This window comes from Homo sapiens, chromosome 7 (assembly GCF_000001405.40).
Source record: "Homo sapiens chromosome 7, GRCh38.p14 Primary Assembly".
Classification (NCBI taxonomy): Eukaryota; Metazoa; Chordata; class Mammalia; order Primates; family Hominidae; genus Homo; species Homo sapiens.
Genome location: NC_000007.14, coordinates 147364266 through 147377214, shown reverse-complemented (window position 1 = coordinate 147377214; position 12949 = coordinate 147364266). Strand labels below are relative to the sequence as shown.

Below are 12949 nucleotides of genomic sequence, written 5' to 3'. Positions count from 1 at the left end.
TATGACATACATACATTTCAAAGCAATTGTAGGGGAAATCGATATTTTAAAAATATTTGATCAACCAAAAGGGGGGGGAGAAGAAGGAATAAAGGAAAATCAAAAAGAAAAAGCAAAATAAGATGGTAGAAATATATTAAGAAATACTATACTGAAAAGACAGAACTATTGATTTTTTCTTAAATCTAGCAAAATACTATTTCTGAGAAGCATGTCTAACACACAGGAACTAAGAAAATTTGAAAGTAAAAGAATTGAGAAAGGTAACTAAGGCAAATACAACTTTTTTAAGAAAAAGAAAATTAGTATGGTTACAATCATATACCAATCTTAGTGCTATAGTATAAACGTATTGAGATCATTTGTAATATACAGTAGTGTTACTGTGTGGAGAGGTTCAGGCTTCAAGGTGCTGGTGTCTGAATTTGATCCTATTTATTGCCCCAGTTGTGTTATTAAGTTATTGTGCATCATGTTTTTTCTTACCTCTAAAATAGAGGAAATAATGGTTTGTATCTCATAGTATTATTATGAGGATGAACTGAGTAAATACACGTGAAATTATTGAGCATAGAATAACACTCTGAAGCACAGAGAACTCACTGATACTGAGAAAAATGAGGTGTCAAAAAATATTTTAAGACAACACAAGGAAAAAGGCGCTCTGAGAGATAAGGAAGGTTAGTATACAATGAAAAAAGGTAAAATTCACTACAAGTTAGAAAAATTCTAAATATGTCTGTACCTGATAACAGAGTGTTCAAATAGATAACATTTTCAAAACATATGAACCCTACTTCCTCGATGAAACCTTCCCTGATGACTGTTTCTTACTCCAAATGCTAGGTCCCTCCCCTCAGTGCTTCAGTAGCACCCAGGGCATAAGTTGTATGATAGTCTCCTGTCACACAGTTATACTTCCTTGTTCCTCATTTCTCTCCTTCGACTATCTGCCATAAACTCTCTGAACACTGGGACTGCCCTCTGTGCTCTCACTACCGAGTTATCATACAAACGTGATAAATACTAAGCTTCCAAAACATGTATGTTTAATGATGAATCCATAAATGTTTTTGTAAGAGAAAATTTAACAGATGCAACTTTTAATTTGTTTTTTAATAAAAGAGTAAAGTTCCTAAATATATGTGGGAAAACTCCACACATTATCATACTTCTTCCCAACCACAAAAGCTATCCTCAGCCCCAATGTCATACAGAATATCTTGTGTCTTCACATTTCTAGGGGAGATGATAGAAGCCTTCATCAATTCTTCCAGGGTATCTGTGAATCACAAACCTGGAAGAACTGCTGGCTCAAAGGGGCTTGATTAGTTGATTATAGTTCTGCTTCCTCTGCCTCTGAAAACTCACCAAAGTAAGAGTGAACTGATTTTTAAAAAGTATAAAGGCTGAAACGTCAACGAAATATGAGTACAACTGTTGGGTGAGAGATTTCAATGAAGTTTTTAAAGATAATGAAGTCCATGAGAAGTGAAAATGGAAATGGTGAAAAACTACTTTAGTACTTGTGGGGAGAGGTATCTGTGCGAGGTGAGCTACACCACTCAATGCCAGAAAGGCTCAAAATCAAGAGGCAGAATGTATCATGAAAAGCGGCAGAATGTAAGGTATAGAAGATAAAACTTGGAGATTGGCTGGGGCCCCCTACACCACTCAAGGCAGCCATGTAACCTTCTGTTCCTCCCTAAAAGATTGCAAGAGTAATTATCAGAGAATCTGCAACTGGGAATCTCAATTGGATTCAGTTTTTGGTGGGGAAGGGTGTGTTTGAAATTGTGTCGGGGTGAAAATGGCATAATTACCAATGTTACTGTAAAACAGACAGTAATTTGCAGTAACACAAATCACACCAGTTGTGTTACTGAGTTACTTAAAAATTGTGACTCACAGTTTGTCATCATCTCTTAAATAGAGAAAATAATAGTATCTATTTCATAATATCATCATGAGGATTGTATTAGTTCATTCTCATACAGCCATGAAGAACTGCCAGAGACTGGGTAATTTGTAAAGGAAAGAGGTTTAATTGACTTACAGTTCCACATGGCTGAGGAGGCCTCAGGAAACTTATAATCATGGTGGAAGGGGAAGCAGACACGTCTTACATGGTGGCAGGTGAGAGAGAGCAAGAAGGAAAACCACCACTGATAAAACCATCAGATCTCATGAGAACTCACTATCATGAGAACAGCATCGGGGAAACTGCCCCCATGATCCAATCACCTTTCACCAGGTCCTTCCCTCAACCTGTGGGGATTATAATTTGAGATGAGATTTGGGTGGGGACACAGAGCCAAATCATATCAAGGATGAACTGAGTAAATATGTGTGAAATTACTGAGTGTATAGTAACACTCTGACCCAGTAACGCTCACTGCTACTGAGGAAAATGACGTGACAAAAATATTTTAAGGCAACACCAGGAAAAGGGCCCCTCAAAAGAAAAAAGGGAAATTCCTCTTTTCCTATGTTTCCAGAATATAGCCAGAGACTACCGGCTCCTCCTCTGGAGGAAGCATACTGTCTCAATGGAAGACTTTGGGGGTAGAACAAGGGATATGCTATGTCACAAATCATTTAATAAATCCATCAGCCAACAAGCTTCACCTAGAGATGAACACATCTTCAAAGCACTTTACAGTATGATATGCACAGGCATTGATAACCTAGACTATGTAACCATATGGATAAATGATTCAGAAGCCTTGGTTCAGATTATTAAAAATGAACTAAAACACAAGTGTCGATTTCAAATAAATGCAATGGTAGGCAAGATTTGAAGATGAATGTTTAAATTGTGGTTGAAGAAAAATACAAATATCTAAAGAGGCCTATAAATAAATGACTTTTTACTGGTAACAGTGAAAAAAACATGTTACAAATAGAAAAGTAGACATTTAGCTATTTAGTTGAACTCATAAAGGGCCAAATTTCTTTATAAGAAGGCTATAACGTTAGTTGCTTTTTACCTTCCTAGTCATATTTTTGAGAAATAGGAATATAATGTACATATGTTTAAGTAAGAAAAAAAATAAAAGTAAAATTTGAATTGCAGTCTGAAGGTTTGTTTACAGTTTCCAATCCAAATGCAATATTATTGAAATATTCGAGATTCATCTCTGTGAATGAGTTTTATTGTCCGTATGGCTTTCTATTCTTTAGACTAAACTCCCATCATCTGTTAGGAAGACACATAAAACAAAGGGATTTGCAGTCTATGTTTGCTTTTTTTTTCCTGATAAATTTATCTGTAACAAGTCATCTTTTCAAAAGTATAAGTAAAATATTGGCAGTTTATATTTTTATTCCATCTCCAATGTATATCTTCTATACATAAAAATGTGCTAGATGAAATATAATTATTTACTATTTACAAGATGAAAGCCAAACCAAACCAACAAGCAAAAAACAAACAGAAAAAACAGAACTCAAGTATAATAAACTAAAGTTCTCCCTGCTCTGGTTCTCAGTGGTATACAGTTCATACAAACACTACTAAATTCCAGGAAAGTTTCTGACCACAGTATTATCTATTTACTGTTTACAACTAGAAACAGTTCTCAAGACAATGATAACATTTGTCAAATCCAGAAGTCTCTGTTATAAATAATTACTCTCAAACAGTATTTCAATGTTCTCATAAATATATACACATATACTCTTTCATTGGGTTTAAGCTGTCAAAATAATTTAACCAGTAAAAAATTATTCTACATTTGAAGTAAAAAGTATGAAAATATTACTTCAGAAAGTTCAAAGCTGTAGGTTATTTGTGCACCTACCTAAAATTCATAGTAAATGGCAGTTTAAAAAATTTAAAACTACATCAACTTCTGGTTAAAAAAATCTAGTAAGACAGACATTTTTTGATAATATGAATCACCGAAACCACGTCAGCCACCTTGAAACTGGCCATTTTGAATGCTGTAAAAATGGCATTCTAGGTTACAAACACCATCATGGGTTAAAACGGGAAATTCTTTACCTTTTCTCAGTGAGGCCCCTCTAAATAGAGAGAGCCTGTTGATATTACTTTCAGGCTATTTGACTATTCCTCATGAAATTACAAATGCTAATTGCCCTTTGAAAGTTAATTTTAACAATAACGGGTTAGAATAGAGTCAAGTCTTCGAGGGACACGATGTGTCCCTGGACGGTACGATCAGTTAGATTTTAATAATGTGATGGAATATATTAACAAATATAGGAAAGAATGTGAACAGGGGCTTGGTCAGCAAAGAAAGCATAAAAAGAAAGGGGAGACAGAGAGGAAGTGAGGATATGGCCCAGTTAAGCAGTGCCCATAGACAGGGAGCTTTGCCAGGATGTTAAGTAGTGGGTTTCCATTGGCTGGGCCATCACTAGTGCACAGGTAGGTGGAGTCTTGGCTAATTGACTCAAGTGTTCTGATCCCATTGGGATTGTGGTTCAGGCTCTCTCACTTGATGACATTTTTTTTTAAAAAAGTATTTATCTGGCTAAAGCTTCCTTCCCATCAATTTTCAAGGGAGACAAGGTCTCTTAGTATTAATTCTGTCATTCAAAGCAAACTTAGATGTGCAGAATAAATGTTATAATGGTTATAATGTATAAATGATGATACTGAGTATTGAGTGCTACTGAATTACTTACTAAATTACAGAAAATTGACCTATGTCTCTTGACTTCTGTTAAGAGTGGGAGAAAAAAGTTCCTGGGATAGAGTTCAGGAATGAACAGTTGAATATACCAACTTAAACTTAGGAAAGCAATGATAGGAGCCACACACAAGAAAGATGAAATGTTTTAAAATAGAAAGGCCAAAAAGGACATTAAAATATGCCCAGAATAGCCTGTGTCTGTCCTTAAGTGGTCTCTCGAGAACATTCATGATCTTACAGTTATAGTTGCCTTACACTAGGGTAAGCTGTTTTTACTCTAATAGGCTCAGAAGACTCACTTTGTCAGCATCCCAAAACTGGATTTCTTTATCTTTCAGGAGTAAGAGCACATTAGCTAAGTTTAGAAGAGTGCTTGTTTATTAATGAATTTAAACGAGAACTGTTACTGTAACATGGAATGACAGCCTGAGCCCTATGCTTTCTCTAAGCAGGCAGGGAAAATATTCGAAATGTTTTAGCCTACTGTCACTGTGTTGTGGGGAATACTTGTTTTGGAGAGATGCACCCTCTCTCTCACAGCCCTTTGTGGTGGCTACCGTACTTGTCATCTACTGGAAACTCTACTGTGAAACAAGATTTAGGGACAGTGTTTACATCACCTTGTTCATTTCTGAACATTACAACATACCATTGTCCATTTCCTCCATATGTATTTATGTATATACACATCTATAATAATATATATGACTATATTTTATTAAAATGCATAACAAAATGCACACACTCTCATACATACACATAGGACATGTATACATAGTGCATGTACACATAAGTGAGCACCCCTGGAGAGGCTGTCAGAGGGAACAAATGAGCCCTCTATTTCTTACAACATCGAATGAGCCTCACTCAGGTTTAGTGGTGAATGTTCTTCAAGCCTATAGTTACTGCCCTGTGAATCTAGGAGAACTTGGTAATCTACAGCCTCTGCAACACTACAAAAGACTAAATTCAGTCAAGAGGAAAGGCATATGAAAGTGGAGAAATAAGTTGTCAGGCAAAAATGTCAATTTTCATGAATTTCAAAGCATATAAAAATTAAAGGTCTCCTTCTGTGCAGTCAAAGCAAAGGCTAAGAGTTAAAGTAAATGTAATAATACTTTTTTATTATTCACTAGGCTGTGTATCTTATATAAAACTGAAGAAAAGTCAATAGTAGTACATAAAACAAACCAGCATAGAAAGGTAGGCTGCAATTTCTTAGAAAATAAATGGGGTTTCTTCTTAGAAAATCATTCTCATAAATGTATAGTGCTTAAATTTAACCACAAAAATATACAAAAGTAGATCACTCAGCTAATTCCAAATCCGTATGATATATATGGTCGTGAATTTTACATTGTTTGATTTACTAATATCTTAACTTCAGATATGAATCTTCATATCAATGTCTTCATTTAAGCAATAGGAGGGCGTTTGGATTGAATAAATTCCCTTTGTGAGGTGAATTTAGCGTTAAGGTTTGAGGCATCTGAGGCTATTTTAAATTACCCATTCATTGACAGTCAGTTATAGCACATGCAATATAGCTATTTCTCTTTGATATTGGAGCTAAACAAACAAAAACATATAAATAGTATTTTATAAGCAATGTTCCCAGAAAAACACCTTATTAAAGTAACAATTGGTAATACTAAGCATATTGAAAGTTGACTTAAATGTAAAATCAGTAATCATTATTTTTTAACTTTCTAAATGCAGCTTAATTTCTAATTAAAAAAATAAGTGATTCTCTCTACTAAAATCAAATTCAATGTAAAGATGCATCTTTTGATCTCATCTAATAGAACATTGGTAAAGACAGTAGTCAGGAAGTCTACTGAGTCATCTAAAACATACTAAGGATTAAGGGTTATTATGTATCTATATATTGGGTATCTATTAGGCATATTGTCTTACATAGTTGTCGATCAGAAAAGGAAAGATTCAGTGGTGTGCTGGTCAACCAGTTCTCCAACAAAATAAACCCTAAAAACACATCCTGGTTTGTAGCATCTGCTATTGTAGATACTCCCATCATGGTTAATTTCAAGTTACAACAATTTAACAAGCGACTCACGGAATTCCTGAAAATTTAACCATCAGTTTTCTTGAGCCAGTCTAAGCAAGCTCCAGCACACCACTGCAAGTGATAGACAAGAAACGACTGATGTGCAAAGGGTGCTCAGAGAGACAATGACTGCCCCAAGGACGTGTGGTGTGGCTTCACAAAATAGCTCTGTCTTAAAAGATGACTAAGAATTTATCAAATACAGATGCACGGAAACAGTATCTCTGTTGTCATGGACACGTCATTGTCCATTTCTTCCATATATATTTAAGTACACACAAATATAATCATGCATATGACTATAATATTTTTAATTAAAATCTGTAGCAAATCGCACACACTCTCATGCACACAGAGTATGCACATATAAGTGAGTGACCCATACACTGAGGTGACAACTGCAACCATGTAGGAAATACGGAAGATGTTACTGTGTTTGGGGAGAGGCAAGGGACAGAATTTCTGAGGACTACAGGAAGCAACAAGGGCTGGAACAGGAAGCCACAAAGAGCCACACGAATCTAAGTCCGCAAGGACCGACCACGTGTGACAAGCTAGGAAATATCACTTTCTTATGGGCAATGATTTCTTTTCATACAGACAGTATGAATTCGATTTGTTATTTATGCAGGTAAATACAAAGGCGAGATTGTAGAGCAGAATTAAAGCCTGGAAGACCAATTAGAGATATGCTGCAATATTAATCCAGGTGAAAGTTGAGGAGGGCCTCAATCAGGCATGGGCAAACTATGACCCTTAAGCCAAGTGCAATCTGTTGTTAGAAATAATAACTTTGAGGAACAGGAGTATGTTCCCTCATTTACATATTGTCTACGACTGCTTCTGTGCTACAATGGCAGAGGTGAGTAATTTTGACAGAGACCATATGGCCTCCAAAACTGAGAATATTTATTAGGCCCTTTATGGAAAAACAGACTGCTGATTCTTGACTTAGAGTAAGGGAGCGAGAAAGAAAAGTCAGAAACGATTTTGAGAAATGATTTACTATAGAATTCATCGTACATGCTGGTGGATGTGTGTAGTAGGAGAGGAAGAGGGAAGTCTCATGAACAAACCTTAGTTTCTATTTGGTGACTGTGTTCATGGTCATGTCAGTAACTTGCACCAAAAACAAATGAGACACGTTTAGCTTGGGGGAGACAGAGAATGAGTTTGGTTCTGGACATGGTCAGTTTGAAAGGCCTATGCCATCTTCATGAGAAGATATCCAATACGATGCTGGAAATAAAGAGTCACAAAAGAAGAAGGAATAAACTAAATCCAAAATAGCAAGTGCTTTTTCAAGTTCTAACATGGTTATAAAATATCCTTTACTTTGTGTCTATAAAATAACCTGGTTATAAAGTATTTAACGTGGTTAGAAAGTATTCAAAGTCTCCCATACTTTTTTCCGTTGTATAGACCATAGTCCAAAAGTCCTTAAACTCAGCAAGTTACTACTTGTGACCTAATTTCAGCAAAGCATCCCTCCTTTCTGCTACTTCTCTGCCTTCCACAAGTTTTGCATTTTAATGTATTGATTTACATTTCAATAACTGTATCTCTACTGTGGGTCCCCAAGGAAAGGAACTATGATCTATTCATGTTGGCATCTTATACATAGTAGGTATCTATTAATTGTTTTTAATTACACTGAATGAGTTGTGAGAAATACCAACTCTGTTTTAGCTGGGTGCTTCAGCAATAAGAGGAACTCTTTTGTATTTAGAAAGATGTGATTGGCAAAAGCAACTGCGAGATAATCACATAAGTCAAACAATGCCCTTGATACATGCATGCCCTTATTTTAATGAAGACTTCCATGTTAAAAAGGTTAAGTGATTTGCCCAAAGGTTGCAGTAGCCAGAGCTGCTCCTGCTCTCAGACTGACCCTTCCAGCTCTGACCGGGCCGTGGGCAGAGGAAAAGGACAGGAACCAAGCAGTGGGAGTGTTTCATTATCTCTCTGTAACATCTACAGAACAAGGCTGCCATCATTGAAATGCCTCAAAATATTAGACACTCTATATTTCAAGTAAGTACAAAAGTACTATTTAAGAGCTAAAGCAAGTTTCCAGGCTTGCCACTGTTTGCAGGGAGACAGAAAACCAAACCCAACACAACTCAACTGACATTCTTCAGAATATCCTCAGGGATGCCCTACTCAATTGTCCTCTACCTCCTTCTGTGCTTAGAGAGTTGACCAGCTGTCCAGAATGACCCTGAACCTGTCACAGACTTCCCTGCCCAGGCTTCTATGTAGCTAGCACATGGTGACTAATCCTGACTAATAAGATCCAAAATAAAATCTGTTAGGGATTCTGGCATGATACTTCTCACTGATGGTGTATATTTGTGTGTGTGTGTGTGTGTGTGTGTGTGTGTGTGTGACAGAGAGAGAGAGGAAAGGAGGGAGAGAAAGAGAGAGGAAGGGAGGGAGGGAGGGGGACAGAGGAGGAGGGGGAGGGGGGGGAGAGAGAGAGACAGAGAGAGAGAGAGAAAGAAAGAAAGGCTTTTCCTCATCCTTGTATGTGGCTATGTGAGATCAACCATGCCTGGAAGGACCTGACCGCAAAGGTTAGCCCATTACAGATGGTAGAGTGAAAAGTAAAGTGTCTAACACCAATGGTCCATGGCATTAACCAAATCTAGGATTCCCACTTTTCAGGCTTCTCATAAAATTTTTTAAAAATGATAATTTACAAAAACCCTCTATTGTTTAACCAGTGTTTGCCCACCATTCTCTTAACTGGAGCCGGAAGTGTGATAACTGGCACAGTCCTGAGATGGAATGGCTTAGGTTCATTTAGGTGATGAGTGGCCAGAATAAGGGTGGTAAATTCTTCCATTTGCTGAGTGTGTTTTGCCTTTTCTGTTGTGTGGATGAGTCACATGATAGCATGGGACAATCTTTCTTCCTGCTTTGAGTTTTGCTGTTATTTAATATTATTATGTTCTTTAATCATGTACTGGATCATGCTGGGACTAGCCTTATAGCAATTTTAAAAGTTCTCTTTTGCAGAATCAATTAGAACTTTTATTTCTAGGCATTCTGGATCTCATGGCCATCTGGTCATACAACTTTTCACACATCTTTACCCTGCTGTGACACTAGAGAACGGCCTCAGGCAAAGGAGACAACAGCTGCCAAACACTCGTTTTCATTAACTGGTTGTCATTTCTCTGCCAATGTAGAGGTGCATTTTAGAACTCGGAATTCCCTCCAATAGGATGTGGCCCTATTTCCTTGCTGATGTGCCTCTCTTCAATAAAGACATTTACAAAAATAAAGCAACAGGAGAAAGTTGGTTTTTAAGAAAAACTAATTAAAACAATGCATTGGAGAGTGGTCACCATGTTAAATTATCTTTTGTGTGTTTGTTTTGGTGCTTTTTGTATACACCGGGTCTCACTATGTCATCCAGGCTGGTTGTGAACTAAATTAACTTGTTTGATCCTACAATAAAAAATAAACTTCACACCTAAACTTTTGAGATCTAAAGATATATAAATAATTCTTTGGCCGACAATTAGGAAATATACAGTCCGCTCCAGAAAATATGGAACTTTTACGAAAGTGGATATATAATAAATTATATTGCGAGTCTCTAAAATGTCTAAGAATATCTCTGATTATAATGCAATTATATTAGAAATCACTAATAAACATTGGGGTGTGTGTGTGTGTGTGTGTGTGTGTGTGTGCGTGCAACAAATTCGTAAAAAATCACTTAAAAACATACCTGGACTAATAAAACTTGATTGTGGATATCAAAAGATACTGAACATAACTAAACAATAATGAAAGTACTGCATAACAAAACTTGTGAGATGCAACGGAAGAGAAGATTTAAGTGAAATTTATTGTTTTACTTATACTAAAAATAAAGAATATAGTATCAGTTGAGAATTCATCTTAAGAAGTAACAAAAATGAAAAGTCAATACAAAGAAGGCAGAGAGAAGGAAACTATGAAAGAATTAGATTTTATGAAAAAATTTATACTCTACTGAAATAAAGGAAAGGTAATACAAAGAAGGCAGAGAAAAGGAAATTATGAGAAAATTAGATTTTATGAAAATTATGAAAAAAATTACAGTCTACTAAAATAGAAAACTGATGAGAGGAATGAGTGAGTCTAAGAACATATTCTCTGGAAAGATAAGACAAATCTCCATTGAGACAGATAAAGAAAAAAATGGAGAAGGCTCAAGTGGAGGCAAAACTTTAGATTCATTCCAGATTAAAAAGCTAATGAGAATCCTATGAACTTTATGTAAAATTTTGGAAATCTAATGAATGGGATAAAAGTACAGATTGTGATATAATATCTACAAAGAACAGCACGCCTGAATAGCCTTAAGACTATTATGCTATTTGCATCTAAAATAATGACTGTGAGTCCAGGTACCCAGGAGAATCTAATGAAAATTCTTGATGAAGGAAAGGACCTTCACCATAGACTTCAAAGAATTCACACAAATAATTATTTCAGCATCATAATCAGTGCCGAATAAAAAACGGCCAACTATTTAAGGAAAGAGAATGAAAGCCAGCAGAACAGACTGGCAAATAATTCAAGAACTAGGAAAATCAGCAACAGATTATAATGTATTTCCAGACAAACAAAAATCAAGAAACATTAAGTAGAGGAAATTCTAAAGGATTTTGTTTCCTTCTGAGATTCTAGAAGCAATGGGAAACAGTGGGTGACTATGTTGATAGAAATGAACAAATAATTATAAAATAGGAAATATAACTTTGTAAGACTAAAAATCTAGAATATATATTTTACACTATAATGTAAATCTAGAAAGTGTTTTAAAGTTCTTGAAATATCTAAGAGGTGAGTAAAGAGACTGATAATGTTTTGACATATTAAATATCCATGTTTTAATTTTTAGGGTAACCACTAAAATAATAGAAAGTGAAGTTATAACATTCAAAAAGATGGGGGAAATAGAATAGTAGAAAATATTTATTAATTAATTCAAACATTCATCTGACAAAGATAATGTGTGACAATAGCCAGAAACAATAGGAACGACTTTATATTTCTATTCATATAAGTTTCTTTGTTTTTTTTTTTTTTTTTTTTTTTTTCTTTTTGAGATAGAGTGTCTCTCCTCTGCTGCCCAGGCTGGAGTGCAATGGCCTGGTCTCGTCTCACTGCAACCTCCGCCTCCTGGGTTCGAGCTGGGATTACAGGTACCCGCCACCACACCTGGCTAATTTCTGTATTTGTAGTAGAGACGGGGTTTCACCATGTTGGCCAGGCTTGTCTCAAACTCCTGACCTCAGGTGATTCGCCTGCCTCTGCCTCCTCAAGTGCTGGGATTACAGGCATGAGCCACTGCACTCGGCCTATTCATATAAGTTTTAAAAACAGGAAAAACTAAGTAAAGAATAGAAATTAAAGAATGACAAAAAATATCCCAAATTCACACTAGCTTACATAGTCTATATGCTGCTAGAAGAACATCTCTAATTGGCTCTTGGTTATAAGGGTTCTTTTACTTAAAAAAATACAAATTCTTTTATAAACTCTTTGTTCCTGTGACATAGTATATCAAAATTAAACATTTTTAAAACGCCAAAGTAATTTTTAACATGGCTAGGAATTTTTTTTTTTTTTCCCGAGACTGAGTCTCACTCCGTCGCCCAGGCTGGAGTGCAGTGGCGCGATCTCGGCTCACCGCAAGCTCCGCCTCCCGAGTTCACGCCATTCTCCTGCCTCAGCCTCCCGAGTAGCTGGGACTACAGGTGCCCGCCACCATTCCCGGCTAATTTTTTGTATTTTTAGCAGAGACGGGGTTTCACCGTGTTAGCCAGGATGGTCTCAATCTCCTGACCTTGTGATCCGCTGGTTAGGAATATTTTTAACCAACAGAACTTAAAGAAGTGAAATATTCTCATAAGCCTTGTCTTCCATTAACATCAAGGAATGACCAACCATAAATGAGTGAACACTGTCTGGAATTTCATGATTTATTATGTAAATGTAAAACAGTCTGATGGATGACAGCATGTTTCTTCACATGACATAGAAGAAACTGAGTCCCTTTTAACACCAGAAAACATCATAGCAGGTTGACAGCTGATATACAATTGTATATGTATGTAATGATATGTGAACAAATACTTAAAGTTACACATATAATTTTCTAAGTGTTCAGTGTGTACATGGAAATAACAAAACTAGAAAAAGTTGGCAATATTAC

At 36.1% G+C, this 12949-nt stretch overlaps 1 protein-coding gene across 2 annotated transcripts in view; it reads right to left on the bottom strand.

Annotated features, from left to right (window-relative positions):
• CNTNAP2 (contactin associated protein 2) overlaps positions 1–12949 on the bottom strand; it is a 2304198-nt gene that overhangs the window by 1043784 nt on the left and 1247465 nt on the right. The gene's annotated exons all lie outside the window — the stretch shown is intronic.